Source organism: Homo sapiens, chromosome 7 (assembly GCF_000001405.40).
Source record: "Homo sapiens chromosome 7, GRCh38.p14 Primary Assembly".
Taxonomy (NCBI): Eukaryota; Metazoa; Chordata; class Mammalia; order Primates; family Hominidae; genus Homo; species Homo sapiens.
This window is the reverse complement of record NC_000007.14, coordinates 154,220,770-154,243,350: the sequence shown is the minus strand read 5'-3', so window position 1 is coordinate 154,243,350 and position 22,581 is coordinate 154,220,770. Positions and strand designations below refer to the sequence as shown.

The following is a 22,581-nucleotide window of genomic DNA, read 5'->3' as shown; positions in this document are numbered from 1 at the left end:
AAATCCTTGTCTGAAAATTTCAACATCAAAGGCATTTAATCTCAGGGCTTGTTTCTATTGACTGTTGTTTTCCTTGATCATGGGTCTTATATTCATGTTTCTTTGAAACTCTAGCAATTTTTTAAAAAAATTTTATTCTGGATACTATAGACAAAATGTTTTCATGATTCTAGATAATCTCTTTTTAAATTAGAAGTGCTCTGAGTTTTGTTTTGGCAGCAGGGAAATTACCAACTGATCTTTTTGGTCATACCAGGCTTCATGTCTTTCCTTTCATGGACATGAACTTATTCTAGTTATGGGCTAAGGTGTGGCCCTTATTTGAGGGTATAGCTTTTACTGCTATGGTGTGGACTTTCTGAGGTTTCAACTGAATGCCTGACTGAGATGCTCAATGAGTTCTCTCCATTCTGGCTGAGCTGGAGCTCCAGCATCTCCTGGTGGTGCATAGCAATAATGCCTTCATTCATTCCCAGCCCTGCAGAAGGCAACCACTGCTAGGCCCTGTGTACTGCCTGCCATGGTGTGGGCAGCCTTCAGCCAAAAACCAGCAATGAGTCTTCATCAAGACTTCTGGAAACCCTTGTCCTCAGCTTCTGCTCTTGCACTTGGCTCCCCAAATCTCAGCTGCTTCTGAGACCACAGCTCCAATCTCCTCCTCAGGTCAGTGAGGCCACAGTTCTGCTGGAGATGTGCAGGAAACGGTCCCAGGCAGAGCACTGGGGCAAACTGAGCCTCACCTCTCATGTTTCCTTTCTCTCAAGAATTACAGTTCTGTGCTGCCTGTTGTTTAATGCCTTAAAACATTTGTCATGCACATTTTACCAGCTTTAGAGTTGTTTATGCCAGGAGGAAATGCCCAATGCCAGTCACTCTATCAGAGCTAGAGGAAAAGTTCACTGTCAGTTTTCATTTGCTAGCCTATGGGAATATATATATACTCACACACATACACACACACACACACACTCATTGCCTCTTAAAGTCAGTGTTACCAGAGATTACATTCTACAAAGTCTGTCAGTTGATCTGATCTCTGCTTCACACTATTAGTTATTTATGGAGTACGGTGGATGTATGCAATATTCCATAAGCCTGAGTGAAGTCAACAGACCTGCTCCAGGGTGTGTACATGTCAACGTCAGACAAATCAGAAATGGTAGGTAGCAAGACTGGATAACATTTCAAAGGTGCCAGTCGGGGGTATGCACAAATGACAGGTCCCTTTGTTGTTTCAGAGAGCTCCTCAAAGAGGGAACTGACAGCACTTTCTAAGGAATGAAACACAAATATTGAAAATCCAAGAGTGACTTCTGAACCTATGAACAGCTCCTTCCTGTGTTCTATTACACTGCCTTCCCCTTTTCAAGTTAAAAGAGACTGAGCAATCACATGCAAAGAATTTGATTAACATCTACTAGAAACTCAGCCCTCTGTGAATGCCAGAGGAAGGTAAGTAGGATGAGTGTTGGGGTAGGGGTGGGTGGAAAAGCAGAGATGACACAGGGCTATGTTTTAGAGAAATGGAAGAAATGGCTCTTTTCTGTAGTTTTGACATAAACTTTTTCGGTCGGCAGACAATCTTTTTAAACTTAAAACATAATATGGGAAACAGGTTAGACACGTGTTAGCTTCGGGAAATTTCAAGATGTGATAAGTGCCGGTTTGTATGATATTGAGTCAGAAAGTAATATAATTTTGAGGAAGAATACATTAATCAATATAAGAATAAATAGGGAGGCATTTTGGAGTAGATGGGGATGGAATTGGATCTTTTTTTTGTTTTGTTTTGAGACAGGGTCTCACTTTGTTACTCAGGCTGCAGTGCAGTGGAGTGACCACAACTCACTGCAACCTCCTTCTCCTGGGTTCAAGCGATTCTCCTGCCTCCGCCTCCCAAATAGCCAGGACTACAGGTGCTCACCTCCACGCCAGGTGTGAGTCACCATGACCTGCCAGAATGGGATCTTTAAAAACACTGAGAATTTGGATAAAACAGGGAAACACAGGAAGGTACTCTCCTATTTAGTACATTTTAATGGAAAACATACTTTAATGGAAAACATAGTTATGAATATGTTTGTCTTCCTAAATGGATAAAAGTGTCTCTCTCTCTCTCTATATATATATACACACACACACACACACACACACACACACACACATATTGATATTGAATTACCTACTGTGCAGCAATATGTTTATATTTGTGCCCAATCATTGGTGCAAAGCAGTATGTGGTTACATGGTAAGAAAAAAGGTTTTCATCAATTTATTTATCAACGGAACTTCACAATATTCCAACAAATCACATAATGACTGAGAATGAGCTGGCCTACTATTCTTAGGTTGAATTCCTTAAATCACACCTTTTGACCCAAAGTATATTGGTCCAGGCCACCAATAAATCATGAAAATACCAAGTATATGATATCATGTCAAGGTGGAAGTATTGCTCATTTCAAATGAATCAAGTGGTCAAACCTCACTGTCTATCCTACATAAAATCCACTGAGAGCAATTAAGAAACTGTCATTGTTGATATTCCGAGGAGAGAATGCTGGAATTACCACCGTACACATTAGCAGGACTTGAGGAAATGAGGTGAATCCCCAAAGAAATCAGGTGGAAAACTGAATATGAATATCAGGTTACATCCTTTCCCTCTGCAGCTTGGACTATATCACCAAACTGGGAATACTCAGGGAACATTTGTAGGAAACACCATTAAACATTAAGGATGCAGGATTCCAACATCTCTGACATACACTCTATGTTCATGATTTTACAGGAGATAGTTATTTATAATAGCTTAGCAGTTATTTCACTCTTTCTTGCCTTGGCTGAGGCATGGGATGGAAGATGGAGAACTTAGTGGTCATTTTCTATTCCTATTCTTATTATAGAAGGAAAAGCTCATAGAAAGACAAAAGCCTGTGGACTGTATTGAGATAAAATCAGTGTGCACAGTCAGGGAAGGCTGGTCAGTTCAGGAAAGAGCAGATTTTTTCATCCTTACTGCTTGATTTTGATGCATGCAGCATTCTCCAGAGGCATCCGGTGGTAACAGAGACAATCTACGCTGGCAGTATCTTAAAATATGGTTAGAATTACCCCATTGGACATAAACTTAGCTAAATACAGAGATGAAAATAACGAAGAGTTGATCCTTTTCCTTAAAACCTACAACAAAGATAATAATTACAACTCTGAACAATTTTACAAAATTCATAGACAATTAGTTCTTGAACAATGCAAAAGTTTAAGGTATTGAACCTTGAACCTCCGAGCAGCTGAAAATCCTTGTATCACTTTTTTTTTTTTTTTTTTTTTTTTTTTTTTTTTTTTTTTTTTTTTTAAAGACAGCATCTTACTCTGTCTCCCAGGCTGGAGTGCAGTGGCACGATCTTGGCTTACTGCAACCTCCGCCTCCTGGGTTCAAGTGATTCTCCTGCCTCAGCCACCTCAGTAGCTAGGATTACAGGTGTGAAACACCATGCCTGGCTTTTCTTTTTCTTTTTTTTTTTTTTTTGTAGTTTTAGTAGAGACAGGATTTTACCATGTTGGCCAGGCTGGTCTCAAACTCCTGACTTCAAGTGATCCACCTGCCTTGGCCTCCCAAACTGTTGGGATTACAGGCATGAGCCATTGAGCCCAGCCCAGCCCTTGTGTAACTTTTGATTCACCACAACATAACTAGTAATAGCCTACTGCTGACAGGAAGCCTTACCAATGATATAAACAGTCGATGAACACACATTTTCTGTGTATGTATACTGTGATCTTACAATAAAGTGATCTTACAATAAAGTGACTGCTAGAGGAAAGAAATGTTATTAAAAAATCCTAAGGAAGAGAAAATATTATTCATTAAGTGGAAGTGGGTCACCATAAAGATCTTTATCCTCCTCATCTTCATGTTGAGTAGGATGAGGAGGAGGAAGAGGAAGGGCTGGTCTTGCTGTTTCAGGGGTGGCAGAGGCAGAAGAAAATCCACATATAAGTGGAACTGCTCCGTTCAAACCCGTGTTGTTCAAGGGTCAACTGTATAAGGAAGCTACTAAGAGCTACGACACTAGAAAGACATGTTTTTGGAGTTGTTTTGCCATTTTTCTTGAAAATGCAAGACCTCAATTCCATACGGGAAATCAGAGGGAGTACAAATGGTGGACAGAAAGTGTCTGAAGCTCGGTACCATGAAAGAATTGGCCCTGACCATTTTCCCCTTCCCCTAAGAACTTAGGTAAAACATTCTTGTGGAGCTTGCTAGCAAAATGCTGGCTACGCCTCCACATGCATTTCCTTTACCATCCCAGCCACCCAGAAGCACAAACAGTGTAGCTTATCTTTCAAATGGATCAACTGTTTCTTTCAATAATGACAATAATGGTAATAATTTTGTGTTGCTCAAATCAAAGAGATACATGTATTTGAGTGAGGTGATTTATATTTGAAGCCCGATCTGTTGTTAACTTCCAATATGGCATTGAGGAAAATCGTTTAATGTCTCTGGGCCTTGGGTTTTTAACTTGTAAAACTGGGATAGTAGTATTTGTCCTGTGTATCTCAAATAATTTTCATGAGGATCAAGAGAGAATAGTTTTAAATGTAGAAAGAAATATTGAAGGTATCTATAGCATAATAATAAGAGAATCCATTCCCATGTAGGTGCAAATAAAGACAGAGTATAATGATTCACAGCGTGGACTCTGGAACCAGTGTGCTTGAGTTCAAATCCCAGCTCTGCTACTTCCTAGCCCCGTGGCAGTGGCTATCTTGGTTTGCTGGTCTGAATCATGGGAACAATAGTGCTGCTGTGCTTCCTTGTTAGGCTATCGTGTTACTTAAATCAGACAGTCTAATCCGACTCTGACTTAACCTCTTAATCCACGCTAGCCAGTTATTGCTATTATCACCTCATATTGTCCTCGATTTCATTTTTAAGGAGAAAAATTTTACACCCCTTCTGAATTGTTAAGGTTTCAGAATACATCTTACTCTTTAATATGTGTCAATATTATTTCACAACCCAGAGTTCAGACCTCAGGAAAAGTACGTATCTTTATATTTGATAAGAAAATAATATTCTTGGGCTCAGCCATCAAACACTGCCTGAGCATGATAACAGAGCAAATGAAAATGTTATTTATAATCCCAAATATCAAACTGTTCCCCAAAGTGACAAGATCAATATTGCAATTCGGAGCTTTCCTCTCACTGGCAGATGGTGTTATTAAAAATACCAAATAACACATCTCTTTGGTGAGGAAAAGGATCCGTTAGACATCTTCGATGTCCTCCTGGAATCTGAAGTGTTCCCTTCTGCTTAGAGGGGAAACTCAGTACCAGCACGTCCCTGGGATCCTCTCTCAGACACGAGCTGGCAGAGGGTGTCCTCAGACATCTCATTCTCTCTGCATGTCAACAGCTGCATCTCTGGTCAGCTTCCCTGCCCAGAGATGGACTTACACGCTCCCAGGGCTCCCCTCAGCAGGGATATGACCTTCTTTCTTTAACAAGGTATTATTTCAAGATGTACTGAGGGATCATCCACTGTGGACCCAACACTTCTATTTGTCTTTAGTGAGTATCTGAGCATTTAGGAACAGAATGCAGATCCCTGAAGCATCTGCTGGGCCAGGACTACATTAATTTCTATTTTAGGAGCTGGAAGGAGGAGAAGGAAAAGAGAAAAAAAGAAGAAGGAGATGAGGGTTTCTAGATGAAATGGTGTGACTCTTTGGTAAGTGGACAGTGGAGGGGGAAGCCTGGTCCAGGGAAGGTGGGACAGTGAATGAGACCCCAGGTGAGGTCAACAGGGGGCCAGGCACCTGGCTGAGGATCTGCTGTTCACTTAGTTGTTTTCTAAGCTCATTGGGGCCCAGATGAATGGCCCACAGCACACTGTAAACCTAACACTGGGTGTCAGACCCCTGAAGGTGAAAACAGGGCACTCTGTATTTCAGAATTTAGTTATAAAGACTTTTGAACTGACCCCCTAAAACTGTTAAAAGTAGCTACCTTAAAGTGGTTTGGTTCATTCCCCCTTCATTTTATTTCCAGATAACTTGTTTGTGTCATCACCTGTAAACAAGATACTAAGGGATTATTCAAGATGTCAGAACCAGCCACATCCAAGGCAGGTTTAAGGACTATAGGACAAAACACTGCCCCTAAACTCTGCCCCTCCTCTGGCTGCTGTTGGAAATCCTGCCATCAGCTTCAAATTAGCTTTATCTCAAGGTATGGGCCTTCCCTCACGCCCAGTCGTAAGATTTTAAACCATCACTAGTTGTTTGGACCTCAATGGGAAGGACTCTGAGAATGTCTAAGTGTGGGTTTTGACAGAGAGGAAAGTGGATGAGACACAGGGGGTGAGTAAAGGGGTTGGAAATTGTGATGGGGCGGGGCTGTGTGGAGGGAGGTTGTGCAATGGAGGCTGGGGAGCACCGGGGAAACCCTCCAGGACACACAATATCCTGTTTCCTTATTTTTTTACTGGTCTTTCCAATTTCTCTGCCATGGAGCTTTTGTGTAAGTGCAGCAGAATAGAGAACAATAGAAAGCAAAGTTATTAGGGATGTAAAGCAATTTAATATGGCCCAGCAATACCGACGTCAGGGAAACACATATGGCTACAGATTTCTTTAAATCTGATTATAGGCTGAGGCTTTCCATGAGTCCACATAAGGAATGGATTGGCCAAACATTCAGGCTCACTGTGGGCTGCCTCACCCATGCACAGGTCATGGTTTAGTGAGAAATAAACGGCTATATCTTCCCTAGAAGTACAATTACACTGATCATTCAAAAGAATGAAGAGAATCTTTCATCAGGGGCTAAGAAATTATCCTAAGAATTTAAACTACTTTGAGATCATTGGTATAAATCCCAATTTTTGTTGCGTAAAATTATAGGGGAAATTGTTTACCTGAGCTTTCTGGCCATTTAGGTTCGTAATAAATTGAAGTGTTAAGTAACATTAAGGATGAAATGCCTCTATAGGCATGCTGATATATTGTGTGACCTATTTATATTAAAAAGCAGAATATGATATATAATATTTAGCTTTTAAGGGTGTTTAAAATGTACCAGGTATAGTTTCATGTGATTTAATGGCTTACCAAATTATTAAATTTAACAACATTCCTATTAGGTTTGGTATTATTATTAATCTCATTTTAAAGATAATAAAACTGGCTGGACACAGTGGCTCACATCTGTAATCCCAGCACTTTGGGAGGCCAAGGCAGGCAGATCACCTGACGTCAGGAATTCCAGACCAGCCTGGCCAACATGGTGAAACCCCATCTTTATTACAAATACAAAAATTAGCCGGGAGTAGTGGCGCACGCACATAATCCCAGATAGCTGGGAGACTGAGGCAAGAGAATCTCTTAAACCCGGGAGACAGAGGCTGTAGTGAGCCAAGATTGCACCACCGCACTCCAGCCTGGGCAACAGGGTGAGACTTTGTCTCAAAATAAATAAATAAATAAAATAAAGATAAGAAAACTGAGGTAACAAGGTGTTAGTAGTTGCCCAGGTAATACACCTAAGAAATGGCATGGCAAATTTTGAATCTAGGCAGATTAAATTCAAAGCTCACACTTTTAATTATCACTTCGAGTTGGTTTGTGCAGTAAGGGGAAAAAAAGAAAAACAGGGATTCTAGCTTTTGGAACAGCAAACTGGGCAAATCGCAATCCATCCAAGCACACTGGTGATACTAACCTATGTGGAAAGGGGCTTTAAAACACTGTGTAGTTATTTGACAATAGAAAGGAACAAAGTGCTGATTAAATTCAAAGCTCACGCTTTTAATTATCACTTAGAGTTGGTTTGTATAGTAAGAGGAAAAAAGAAAAAAAGGAATTCTCTAGCTTTTGGAACAGCAAACTGGGCAAACTGCAATTCATCCAAGCACACTGGTGATACTAACCTATGTGGAAAGGGGTTGTAAAACACTGTGTCGTTATTTGACAATAGAAAGGCATGAAGCACTGTCACAGGCTACCACCTGGATGAGCCTTGAAAACATGACGCTCAGGGAAGAAGTCAGATGAAGAAAACACACACGATATGATACCATGTGGATGAGCTGACCAGAACAGGTGCATCCACAGAGTGATCACAGATGCCTGGGTGCCAGGGGTTGGGGACAGAGGATGCAGAGTGACTGCTAAGGGGCACAGTTTCCTTCGGGGGTGATAAAAATGTCCTAAAATCGATTGTGGTGATGATTACACAATTCTGTGCATAGGCTAAACAACGTTTAATTGTATGCTTTAAATGGGTAAATTGTATGGTAAAAACTACATCTCAATAAAGCTGTCACCAAAACAAAACAGAACAAAACCCATCATACAATGGCCATCTGCTGTGTCCTTTGTGTGTCCGGTATCAAGATTTTGGAAGAGGGGCTGAAGGGAGGCACGGGGATCCCAGGCCTCCCAGGGCCGGCTCTGTTCCATGCAGGGGCTGTGTGAGGTGGGAAGAGCAGAGGCCCAGCACACAGGAACCAGGCCTGGACGGGAAAGGAGATGGCCATCTCCACCCAGCCCATACTGAGTGCACACCTGATTGCATGGCACCTGTTGGACCCTCATGGCAAGTCCAGATGAGCTCATTTCATAAATGAGAAAACTCATCTTCAGAAAGTGTGTGTGCATGTGTGTGTTGGGTGTTTGCGTGTTGAGTGTTGATTCTGTGTATGTGTGTGTCTGTGTGTGTGTTGGGTATGTGTGGGTGTGTGTGTTTAACTGGATGGTTTGTCCACCTAAGTGATAATATCTAAGCCCCTCAAGTCCAAAGGTAGGATCCAAACCCAGAAATAAGAGGCTTGGAGCAAAGTCTACGGAGAAAATGCCTGGCTGTTGGGGTCCTGAAGGAGATGTTGGTGCTGGCTATTTCTGGATAATGTTTAGCAAGTTAACCATAGAGAGAGATGTTAAAGGCCAGTTGTCCTTGGAATTTTCTGGGAAACACCCAGCTCAGAGATGGGAGTGTCTTATCATCACTGAAATCTGATTACCTCCCACATCCCAAGATATCAAATACTACTCATAGGCTGTTTCCCAGGATTCTCTTATACAACCAGTGGGCAAAGCACCAAAGCTACCTGAATGAGGAAGAGACTCATTTTCAAGTTGTCACCTTTTTCCTGCTGTTTCCTCTATCTGAACCTGCCTTCCTGTTGAGAGGCTACATGGGCCACATTGTCCTAACTTAATTCACTGCTTCATCACCTAGCACTGTACTTGGCATCTTCTAGCCACCCCAAATATGCTTTCCATAGCTGACTGAATAGTAAGGGTATGAAATATGATTCTCCTTTTCTATTCTTTCTCTTCAGACCAACCCCACACTCAATTAAACATTCACCTCAATTTTTCTATGAGGCTGAGCCAGAGTAATCCAACCCACAGCCTTTCTCACTGTCTGTAGTCATGAGCATCATCATACCTGTTGTGCATGCAAGTTTTGCTTCGCTTCTCTTTTTACTTTTTCTAAAGTATTTGTTTACTAGGGCTGCTGTAACAAAGTCCTACAGATCAGGTGGCTTAAACAACAGAAAAGTTATCATCTCATGGTTCTGGAGACAAGACGTCTGAGATCAAGGTGTCATCAGGGTTGGTTTCTTCTGAGGCTGTGTAAGAGAATCTGTCCTATGCCCTTCTCCAAGTTTTTGGTGGGTTTGCTGGTAATCTCTGGTGCCCCTTGGCTTGTCGGAACAGCACCATGATCTCTGCCTCCATCTCACATGGCATTCTCCCTGTGGGTGTCTGTGTCCAAATTTCCTCTTTTCATAAGGACACCAGTCATATTAGATTGGACCCACCCTAATGACCTCATTTTAACTTGATTACCTTGGTAAAGACCCCTAGTCAAATACAGTCACCGGGGGTTAGGACTTCAACATATGAATTTCGGGTGGGCACCATTTAACCCACACATAACACACCTAACATTTCATTTGCTTATAAGCTCCTTAGCCACTGATGCTGTGTTCTGTAAATATTTTGTGTCACTGCACTGATGAACAGATTATTATTGAATGAGCAAATGCACGAAAGCTTGCAGAAGTCCCTTCCCTCACAGCTACATCGAATTTATAAAGACATCCTACTGTTAACCTTGGCAGAAGTGCTTCCCTTTCTATTCCAGCTTTTCTCAAAAAAGAAAATGTCTGAATTCGACTCTCACAAACTACTCTAATTCACAGCTGGTAAGACTTACTATCTACACAGTTTATTCCTTAGAGTCAACAGTTTCATTTGTGAGCTTCTAAGTGAAATAATTTTAAGCATGATTCTTTCTTCAAAACACAGCAACTGGCAATGACTTATTTTTGACACGAGCAGGAAATCTGTAATCTGTGATATAAATAGTGAGATGAGCTTGAGAACCTCCTTGCAGACTTTAGCACTTCGTGGCTCCTTGCTTCTTCAAACTCCCATGCCATCTATTTCCATCTGCGTTCCTCCCGCATTGTATGTCATTTATCTCAGCTGTTTTCTGCTGACTTTTGGCTTCTCCCTGCCTTCCCTATGCTTGGCAGCATCAAGATACAAACACAAATATAGCTAGAGGAACAGATATAGATACCCTGATGTGAGCTCCGCAGGTAGAATGTGTGAAGTCCATTAAATGCCTGGCAGGACAAAAGGCTTTGTCAAAATAGAACATGCTAACATGGAGACCTGCTGCAAAGGGTCTGAATGTGGGATGAGCTGCCCAGTGTCCACCCTTTCTAACAGGGCCATTGGTTCTCCATACACAGCCTCTAGGATTCACAACCAACCTCATGGAAGGTAAGAGTCACTTAAGCAGGAATAACATATCAAGATGCCCTTAACACCATTCCAATCCAGACAGAGTTTCTTGTTCTGATGGTACTTATCTACTTTCCAGGGATTGAGGTCCTGACACCAAAGCCCTCCCTGGTGACTAGGATTTTGCTATCAGTAGATGATCACTCCAGAGGAGAAGTCTGCCTCCCTGAGCTTCCAAATGTGCCTACCTGCAGAGTCCCTGTTTCTGGGCTCTTGTGTTTGCTGGGACACCCTGTTTCTGGGCCAAGGAATCTTGATTGCTGTTTCTTGGCCTACACTTGACTGGATAGTACCCTACCCATTAAAGAGCATGCCTGCCTGTTAGATAGCCTGATTTTGTTCAGTACCTGCCCCTTTGTCATCTCACCTCACCCCACTCACCCTATCAGCTTGTCCTATCCTCTTAGGTTCCCTCCCAAGTCCTGATTGCTATTGCTCTCCACTGGCCCAAAGGTAAGCATTTGTCCCTGTAGTGCTGCACCATGAAACACGAGGCTGTTTGAGGGTAAGTCCCTGCCCAGGTGGCTCCTATCACACGGCAACCCTGTAGCCTCTGGATGCGAAGCAGCACCATGGACAGTTCCTCCCTGGCTGGTAGAGTAGAATGGCCATCTCCAAGGAAGCCGGTTGACCTCAAGGGCTACAAGTATGCTCAAATACTTGAAAATCATCAATACACTGCTGACAACCTTTCAGAGAAGCACGTGGGGGAAGCCCGCAGTGGTGGCTGTTTCCTGGAGCCTTTAGGCTGTAATCAGTCACTGAAAGGTCCTCTCTCATCTGTGGCTCGCAAGTGCTCCAGGAGAGAGACAACAGGTAGTCTTCACTGCAGGCATAGAGACACAGAAGGGAGACAGAAGCTGCCTGCCTGTCTGATTTGCATTTTGCTGGCTTCTGGGTTCCCAGTTATGATGTTAAGCCCACTCCTTGCACCAGTATTATTATTCCATGCCGACACCTCCCAGTGCTTATACTTGCTGTGACCACCTCCTGTTTTATGCTATTAGACCCAGCAACAGACTCTCATGCCCGATGTTATCCTGACACTTACATCGTGGTTCTAATCATACTGCCTGATGCACTGAAGGAAGTACTCGTATTCCTAGGGAGGCTCCTGATGTCCTCACACAAAACTTGGACTGAATGCCCAAAACTGGGATGCTCAGCGTGCCTGTAAGAACTCTCATTTCCCATTCACAATAGCCCAGTATTTCTCAGCCTCCTCTCATGCCACAAGGAAAGGCACAGACAACAAATCAAAGTCATGCTAGCCATCTCTATCCATGTCAAAGACATCATTTCCAAGATACGAGACAGGGTGATCCAGATCAAACCTGTGATCCCAAGATCTTGAGTAAAGAGGACCCTGTCAAGAATGTGGGAGGGTTCTATACTGATTCAAGTTTAAAGCAGAGTAGAAAATAATGAAACAGCTCAATATGCAAGAAGAATCAGTCACTAGATGCAGCATTCAAATTCTATCTTTCAAGAAGTCTTACAAATGTCAAAAATAAGTAATTGCCAATTACAGTGCTCTGAATGGAACTGGTGACATGAAATACTTTTCTTTACAGTGATGCAAAAATGCATATTATCATTTTATGCACTTACAGGTAGAATAGTTTGGACTGATTTTATGTTATAATTGTCTTTGTTTTACTTTAATTCTACTCTTCACACAGTAGTCTATAGGTTAGAACAGTATCCGGCACTCAGGGCTCATTCAGTCAATGTTTTTGAGTGGCAAAAAGACATGAATCAGAAAATCTGCAAGGCCACTTTTGGATAAACCACAGTGTTTGTCTTTTGGTGAGGAGGTGAGAGAAGCACCAGGAATGAGTGACAGATGGCTGAGGCTCAGACAGCTTTTGGGCTAGCCCCAATCTTTACATCTAACTCAGGGGGACACTGGGAAAGTCCCTTCACCAGCCCCTCAACTGTAAAATGAGGTGGTTGAACCAGAAGACACTCAAGTCCCTTGTGGCTCTCATGGGCTATGACCCAGGTTCACAGCTGGGAGGAGCTTTTAGCTGGAATCCAAAGGCACAAGACCCACGTGGAAATGAAGCTGCATCAGTCCCTTAAAGATGAAGAAGTCACAGCAACAGGGGGAAAGAAGGCAAGAGAAACTCATCTCTAATGACAGTTCTCTGCATCTAATCAAGGTCTAGCTTATCTCTTCTTTTTAAGAACTGAGAAATAGTTTGTTGATTATCATTCCTTGCAGAGCAAATCTTTACCTACTTCCTATTAAGAGTGGGGGCCATAGCTTATTCCTCTTGTCTTTCCACAGAATTTTCCATGTGCTTCGTGCATACCATCAGATCCATATCTGTGTGGGAGGATGGGGAGAGGATAGGAGGGAGGGGTTGGAGGAGGGTGCGGAGGAGGGTGCAGAGAAGGAAATGTGGATAATGTAGCTGCTTCTCAGGTGGCCAGTTCAGATCTTGCAAACTCTAACTTTCCTTTATGATGTTCAATTCCCAAACCAGAAATATTTTTTCTCTAATCTTTTTATAAGGCTAAAACATTTTAAAATATATATAAACCACTATTGAAATATTATATGTAAGTTCTTCAAAAAGTTCATGAAAAAATGTGTATTATAAAAACCAACTATGCATGGGTTTCACAAAATATTTTGCACCAAATAAGCTTGTACTAATTTGTTATAACATGTCTGAACAGGATCTAGTTTGATGCATTAAAAAAGATAAGACCTCAGTTTGAAAAAAAAGCCTCCATCAGAGCAACATGAATTCTGATAAAATTGCAGCAAGAACAAACATCAAATTTATGGTGAAGCTTGGACGGAAGAATGGTGTAATAATTGATGCTTTATAAAAAGTTTATGGAAGAAATGCCCCTCAAAAATCAGGAGTTTACAAATAAAAAAACTTGTTTTAATAGGAGACAAGATGATGCTGAAGATGAAGCCCTCAGTGGTAATCCATCCACATCAATTTGTGAGGAAAAACATCATCTTGTTCATGCTCTAAGTGAAGAGGACCAATAATTAACAGCAAAAACAAAAGCCAACACTATAGCTATCTCAATTGCTTCAACTTCTGGTGGAAAAATTAAAGTTGAATAAACATTCCACTCAATGGGTGCCAAAACCCTTGCACTCAGATTAGCTGCAGACAAGAGCAGAGCTTTCAATGGAAATTTTCAACAAATAGGGTCAAGATCCTGAAGCATTTCCTCAAAGAATTGCAATAGGAGAGGAAATATGTCTTTACCAGTACCATCCTGAACACAAAGTACAACCTTAGCAATGGCTACCAAGAGGTGGAAGTGGTCCAGTCAGAGCAAAAGTGGACCAATCAAGAGCAAGTTTTTTGGGATGCTCAAGGCATTTTGCTTGTTGGCTTTCTGGAGGGCCAAATAACTATAATGTGTTATTATGAGAGAGCCAAAGCTTTAGCAGAAAAAAAACGCCCAAGAAACCTTCACCACAGAGTGCTTCTCCACCAGGACAATGCTCCTACTCACTCCTCTCATCAAACAAGGGCAATTTTGTGAGAGTTTTAATGGAAAATCATTAGGCATTCACCTTACCATACTGATTTGGCTCCATTTGACCTCTTTTTGTTTCCTAATCTTACAAAATCTGTAAAGGGCACCTATTTTTCTTCAGTTAATAATGTAAAAAAGGTTACATTGAAATGGCTAAATTCCAGGGACCCTCAGTTCTTTAGGGATGGACTAAATGACTGACATCATTGCTTTAAAAAGTGTTTTGAACTTGATGGAGCTTATACTGAGAAATAAAGTTAATGTTTTTAATTTTATCTTTTAAGTCCACTTTTCCATGAACTTTAAAAGTTCCCTTATATATATTATTAAAAAATCATTTTTAATGCTAATTCAGATTCTCCTTCTGTCCCTGCAATTGTAAGCTTAGGACAATATCTTAGGTTCTTACTAAAATGAAGAGAAATAGATTCTTTCCCAGTTTCCATTTCTCTCTGATAGCCTGCCCATTTGTCTGTCTTCTGGCACCATTTGAACCCAAGCGGTATCTTTGACATTTATATATCAAGATAAAATAATGACCTATTTGAAACAAAATTTGTGTCAGCTACTTTTATCCCTAAGTACTGGTCTATTTTGTGGCTGGGGTGAAATAAATTGTAGATCAAGTAATAAAATTAGTTAAATGAGGACTTCGAGATGGTTTGATGAGCCAAGGACCCTTGCAGAAGGAAAGAATGGACTGATTAGTTGCAGTCTCTTCATTGTTGGGTTAAACCCATCAATTTTTAAACTATCAATTTGGCATCATTCATAGGGACAAAAGTCACTCCAAATTGTTTTTAAAATGAAGTGTCAGATTCACTTTGAAGTACACACTGGGAATTCCTGGAGTACAAAAAACAATTTGAGAATTATTGATCTCAGGATCCCATTTGATTATTAATTCTATTAAGCTTGGGCTATGGAGTTTATAACAGTATCTTTTAAATTTGCTGTTACCAGTGGAATAATGAAAAATAATCTCTAATGATATTTCTGAATGGGAGATTATTCATTATTATTGATTTCTCATCCACTGATTTTCCTCCTGAAATTTCTGAGCAGGTTAAATAAATTGTAGCTTTAGTGAATGAGAGCTCTGAATCATAGGATAAAAGGCAGGCATAGGGCAATTCCTGACACTTCCTCATTTTGCCTGATGATCCATTCAAATAGCAGGGGTTTCCACCCTCTGATCATGACAGTGTCTGGCACTCAGTACTCCTTCAGTTTTGAATGACAATCTCCCCAAATAAGTCTTACCCACCCTGAACCTGTCCTTGTGAAGCAGGCTGAGTAAAGTCCAGGAGGATGTCAACAGTGTAGGGGAGAGGAGCAGAGTGAGGGGCAGGGTGAGAGGAGGAAGACCTCTTAGATACATCTGCCATGGTGCTTGAAACTTTTGTTATTATTAATATTATTATTGTGATATAAACAGATAACATGAGATCTACTATCTTAAAATTTTCAGTGACTGTTCAATACTGTTAACTATATTCACAATGTTATACAACAGATTTTTAGAATTTATTCATTTTGCAATAACAAACTTTATAACCACAGCCCACTGAAGAGCAACTCCCCACTTTCCCTTCTCCCAACCCCCTGGCAACCACCATTCCGCTCTCATCTAAGTGGAATCATGTCATATCTGTCTTTCTGTGATTGGCTTATTTCACTTAGTATAATGTCCTCTAGGTTCATCCTTGTTGTAGCATATGGCGGAATTTCCTTCTTTTTTTAACACCCATTAATATTCCTAGGGGTGTGTGTGTGTGTGTCCCTCATTTTCTTTATCCACTCATCTGTCAATGGACTTTTAGGTGGTCTCCACATCTCAGCTATTGTGAATAGTGCTACAGCAAACCTAGGAGTACAGATATCTCTTTGACATCATAATTTCACTTCTCTTGGAGAAATACCCAGAAGTGGAATTATTGGAACATATTGTAATCTATTTTTGATTTTTTGACGGAACTCTGTACAGTTTTCTGTAGCAGCTGCACCATTTTACATTGCCACCAATAGCACAGGGCTCACTTTACCATCTATTATCTGACTGGATCCTTGAAACTGGTTGAAGGAAACTGTCATCCCATTCACTAGGTGTAAAAGAGAGATTCAAGGAGATAAGGAACTTCCTGGAAGTCAAGGGCACGTTACTGACAATTGACACCTGACTGTAAGCCCCATCTTTCTCTGACTCTGAAGATCACATACCACCAAAAATAAGCAAATAATTATTCCTCTCTACAAATGGCCACATTTGCCTTGACACTTGTTAAAACAGCATTAATTATGGATTTTTGACAGCAGAGCCTACTGAGGATGCCCATGTAGAGTCGATCCTGAAAAAATTGGTAATAGGATCACATGTCCACTGTCACATATTCTGGAGTTTGATAAAGTTCCCATACTACATGGATTGCAATACTGTACGAAGAAAGACACTTCAATTCTATTAAATGTTAAGACATTAGAAAGGCCCCCCGAAGAATCCCTGTGTCTTGGAGTAATCCCTTGACAGTGATGGGCACTGATGCTCCCCTATTTACTGATGCCTTTCACATTCTGTGAGCTGAAGGGTTCCTTCCTTTCTCTGCTCTTCTGCTGTGGTCAGGAACCCTGCTGTTTACATCTGAAACTATCATTTGACATTCATCAACTCACATCTGGCATAAGACAAAAATTGTCCAGATCGAACCTATCAAATGGTTTCTAGTTTCATTGGCAAGATGCTTTTGGATCTTACTGGAATTTCTGAAAGAGCACCTTGCAGACATGATGCCATTTGGTGAGGACTCCACCTTCCCTCTCATCTTCCTTCAGCCCCAGAACTCTGGCCATGGTTTCTCCTCCCCTGTTCCTCTTCCTCCCACTTCTCCATGGGCCTAATCTCCTGTGAGTCTCAAGGTTCAGCATCGTGTCATCAGGAAATGCATTTAATAGAGAGACAAGGTTCTAGTTGTGTCTCAGCCACTTGGTGGCTGCTGCTGGATCATCTTCAGTTGCTCATTCATCAAAAGTGGGTAACATGAATTGCCTTCCAATTTTAAGGGGTAGTGGGACCAAAACTGTGAGGTTGCTTTGAAGCATTGCTTGCTATACGAAGTTAAAGTATTACTGACTCCACAGAGAGAGGGTGGGCACTAGTGTATTGGTAGATGGGGGATTCTAATGACCCAGGAAAAGAATTTTGGTTTTGAAGCCAGAAATTCGTATGTTTACATCCTGCCTCCAGTAACTTTAGAAAAGTTAGTAAATGTCTCTGTTCTTTAAATATCAGGCTATTTATCGATAGAATAGGTAAAATGAAACATTCCCTACACAAGTGTTACAGGTGCTGAGATTACTAATAAGATATATACACATGCTCAAAGCCTGTCACAGAGTAGACTCCCAAACCAATGAGATTTTTTTTTCTCATTTTTTTTCTTCGATTAAGGGAAAAACACCAATGAATATTATTACTGGGTAAAGGAAGTGGGATTGAAAAAGTAGAATTAAACAATCGTAAAAGCCAAAACGAACCTGGATAACACGTAATTGGAGTATCCATTGTGAAAGAAGGCAAGGTCAAGAGAGGTAACATGATTTGCTCAAAATCATGTACCTGTTCTATAGATATATATTCTATTTTAAAATATATAGGCTGTATAATGTCTTCTGAAAGAAAACTCTTATCTTCTTAAATTTTTGCAGACTATTCTAAGAAAAGTGCATATTTTCTGAGCTTATTTTTCTAAAAATCAAAAGGGATTCGAGGTATAAAGGTAATTTCTTGTGTATGATATGCTTACTCTGAAATCAGTATGTTTTTATTTATTTATTTTTATTTACTTATTTATTTATTTTGAGACAGAGTCTCACTCTGTCACCCAGGCTGGAGTGCAGTGGCACAGTCTCGGCTCACTGCAACCTTCACCTCCCAGGTTCAAGCAATTCTCCTGCCTCAGCCTCCTGCGTAGCTGAAATCATAGGTATGTGCCACCATGCCTGGCTAATTTTTGTATTTTCAGTAGAGACGGGGTTCACCATGTTGGCCAGGTTGGTCTCAAACTCCTGGCCTCAAGTAATCTGCCCGCCTCTGCCTCCCAAAGTGCTGGGATTACAGGCATAAGCCACCATGCCCAGCCCTGATATCAGAATGTTTTTAAAATGTTAACAATGAAGGAACTGATCATATGTTGCAAAAGCCCTCTTACGTCATCAAATTGTGTTGCTGATGTTAATTTCCTGTGGACATTACTAGAAATCTTTTGTGCAATTGCCTAGTATTGGTAAATTTTAAAATCTAACTCTATACATTGGGGACAGTTGTGATTTCCATTTTGAAACCAAAAACAAATGAAGTGTCACACAGTTAAGGAATTTGGAAATGTTCACCACATATGGTATTTAATGTACACAGCAAACTTTAGAATATAGTTAAGTCTTCATTTAAGGTCATGTTTTATGAAAGATGAAGCTTTGCAGTTGATTGGAATGGCCTGGGAGACCAATGCAGAAACATTTAGAGTACACAGTTTCCTCAAAGTTGAGTTTCATTTTTATCCAGAGCACAGAACTTAGCAGTCATCCTTGATACCTCTCTTTTCCTAACAACCCAAAATCAGTGGGTCACCTTGCCACATGGATTTTATTTTATTGTATTATTTGATTTTTTTATATTTTTGAGACAGAGTCTCACTCTGTCACCCAGGCTGGAGTGCAGTGGCGCAATCTCAGCTCACTGCAATGTCCGCCTCCAAGTTGAAGCTATTCTCCTGGCTCACACATGGATTTTACATCATAGTATCTCTTAACGTTGTCCATTTCTCTCCACTCAACCATCACCATCATGGTTCAGGCTGCCTGTGTCTCTGCCTGGGCCACAGTGTCCTCCCAGGGAATGATCAGGCTGTGTGTCCCCTCCTGGGCTGCAGTGTCCTCCCAGGGATAGTCAGGCTGTGTGTCTCCTCCTGGGCCACAGTGTTCTCCTAGGAACAGTCAGGCTGTGTGTCCCTGTCTGGGCCACAGTGTCCTCCCAGTGACAGTGTGTGTGTCCTCCTGGGCCACAGTGTCTTCCCAGGGAATGGTCAGGTCATGTTTCCCCGGCTGGGCCACAGTGGCCTCTGAGTGTTCTATTCACCTCCATGCTCACTCCCCTCCTGCCTATTCTCCACTCTGAAGAGAAGAGGATTTTCCCTGTGTGCAAATGTGAAGTTGTCCTCACTCTACCCTCACCCCAAGAGCCTCTCCATGGGTTCCCGTTGCTTCTAGGAAGATGTGGCACACCACGCCCTGCAGGACTAGGGACATCTCCCACCTCTTCCTTCCTCTCATCTGCCCCCGCCCAACAGGACTTGGCCACATGTTTCTGCCTAGAATATTCTAACATTCTTTTCACCATTCTTCATCTTCTACTCATCCTTCGGATTTCAATTTGATCTCAGAGCCTCAGGGGGCTTGGCTGATCTTGCTGGCTTACACCCCACTATCAGAGGCTGTTACCAGCATCTCCCACCAACTCCTAGGTTTCAGAGAGTGTGTCCCCATTACATTTTTACATTTGCTTATGTAGTTACACTTGATTCTTATCTCTCTCTCTGACTGGGTATCATTAGTTCTATATTTGCCCATCATCAAATCCCTGGTGCCTAGCACTCAATGGATGCTTAAAGAATATTTGCAAAACGTGTTAATGGATGAATGAATAATGAATGAATGGGTAGTAAGCACACGTGTTTACCTACAATCTGTCATCTGAGTTGCACCCTGGTGCTGAGCTTCTGCTGGTAGAGACGGTCTGCAATGTTTTGCTTCTCCTTGGCCATACCATCTTTATGTCCAGTGATTCACCTGGGGTTTGTCATGGGATGGGGAACAGACTTTGTACATGCAAAAATGCCAAATGCCGACAGGAGTGGAAACCAAGACTCTCTCACCTGTAGCAGTCTGTTCTACCTCAACAATTTTCAATGCAGGTTCCACAGCCTCACTGGGTTGCTTTCCATTATCTCAAGGATTATCATTTTAACAATAATTACATTTACGGAAGGGGTGTCAGGGTCCTACATGAAGAACACCAACAACCACCAAAAAGCCTTCCCATGACCTGAAAGGCTGTGGCATCTCTGCTCCTGCCAATCACACCATTGGAGTTCCAGACTGAGCACTGGTGGTTCCACCCCATGCCTTGAAGACTGATCACCAAAGAGATGCAGGTACATGAGGAGGGGCTCATCAGGCAGACAAAATATGCAGGAAATGAGCTTCCGGATCTGGATATTTTACTGAAAGAGTTCTGTCTGTTGCAAAGCAGATTATTTAATTTATTTTATTTTATTTTATTTATTTTTGAGACAGAGTTTCACTCTTGTTGCCCAGGCTGGAGTACAATGGTGTGATCTCGGCTCACTGCAACCTCCACCTCCCGGGTTCAATTGATTCTCCTGCCTCAGCCTCCTGAGTAGCTGGGATTACAGGCGTGCGCCACCACGCCCGGCTAATTTTGTATTTTTAGTAGAGATGGGGTTTCTCCATGTTGGTCAGGCTAGTCTCGAACTCCTGACCTCAGGTGATCCGCCCACCTCGGCCTCCCAAAGTGCTGGGATTACAGGCGTGAGCCACTGCGCCTGGCTACAAAGCAGATTATTTTCATCTGCTCATTTCTTTTATGCCCACCTCAACTGTTAGGACCTGAGGAAGGCCAGAGGACAGGCTGTGTGTGGCTGTGGAGTTAGAGAAAGCACAGAGGCGGTGGGACTTGAGTTGTGCATTGGAAGATATGCTCAATTTGGGTGGCTGGGAGGATAGGGGTCAAAGGTAACAGATTAGGAGCAAAGGCTCAAAGATGAAAATGGGTTACAGAATATTCATGGGTTTGTGCTATTTGGATGCTGGGGCAGATTCATCAGGAAGAGCAAGTGGGCGACAAAACCAGGCATGTGAAGCAGAAGGTGAGGGCTCATGTGCCATGTCACAGAGGTTCTCCCGAAAAGATGTTCTATCCCCATGGTAACTGAATCAAGCAGAGTAAGGAGTCTTCATTTTTTTTTTCCTCACTCATCTAGAGAAAATTAAATTAAATTTTCAATTTACCATGAATTAATATGCCTTTTTTATAATGCAAAAGTGTTATATTTAAACTGGGGGTGCTATCATACAACTATTATCTCTGAAAAGCCCTCGGCCCACTTCCAACATTGTTCATCCGCTCCTGTTTTTAATTCAGCAGAGGTTAATAGCAATTCTCAGATGCCTTCACATAGCCAGCTTCCCTGGAATGAAGAGAAGATCTGGAAGCCTCAGAGAGTAATGAAGTCATTATTATAACCATTTTAATAAAATTTTCAATAGTTAAGCCACCTTCCTGTGATTTATTGTTAAAAAACTAAGCCACTGAGTTATAGGACTGAAAAGGTCAACCAATGAATAGGCTGCACTTAACAGAAGTAATAAAGGAAGAAGAGAGGCTGGGTGGGGAGGAGAGGGGCTATGTGAGAAGCTGTGCTAGGGTCTGATGCCCCCCAGATTCATATATTGAAACCTAATGAGGGTCGAGCACAGTGGTAGGCTGGGTGCAGTGGCTCATGCCTGTAATCCCAGCACTTTGGGAGGCCGAAGTGGGTGGATCATTTGAGGTCAGGAGTTTGAGACCAGCCTGGCCAACATGGTGAAACCCCACCTCTAATAAAAATACAAAAATTAGCTGGGCATGGTGGCAGGCACCTATAGTTCCATCTACTTGGGAGGCTGAGGCAGGAGAATTGCTTGAACCCGGGGGGTGGAAGTTGCAGTGAGCCGAGGTCGTACCACTGCACTCCAGCCTGGGTGATAGAACGAGACTCTGTCTTAAAACAATAACAATAAAAGGAAACCTAATGGCCAGAGTGACTTTGTTAAGAGGCCTTTAGTGGGTAATTAAATAACGAGGGTGAGGCCTAATACAAGCAGGAACCCCGTTTTTATGCCTGGCACCCAGCAAACGCTCTTCAAACTTGAGTTTCAATCAAGACCTGTACATGTTATCCACACATATGGTCAAACTCTGTTTATCACTAATTCAAGACTACCATGAAATAAGGAAGAAAGCAGCCCCCCAAAACCCACTCACAGAAGGGCCCCTGGAACTCCAGAAGAGCCACAGCAAAACTTGTTCGTGAAAGCCCTGACCTGTACTGTGCAGGAAGAGGACACAGGTATTTCTGCAGGACTTGGCAGCCCAGCTTATCATATGAGTTGT

The 22,581-nt window shown here is 41.9% G+C and overlaps 1 protein-coding gene and 1 long non-coding RNA gene across 11 annotated transcripts in view; one reads left to right on the top strand and one right to left on the bottom strand.

Moving 5' to 3' along the window:
* DPP6 (dipeptidyl peptidase like 6) overlaps nucleotides 1-22,581 on the bottom strand; it is a 1,146,153-nt gene that overhangs the window by 650,935 nt on the left and 472,637 nt on the right. The window lies entirely within an intron of this gene.
* On the top strand, nucleotides 1,382-6,150 carry LOC105375582 (uncharacterized). The gene is made up of 3 exons (XR_001745001.3): nucleotides 1,382-1,452; nucleotides 5,665-5,743; nucleotides 6,064-6,150. It is a non-coding gene; the product is annotated as an uncharacterized LOC105375582 (long non-coding RNA).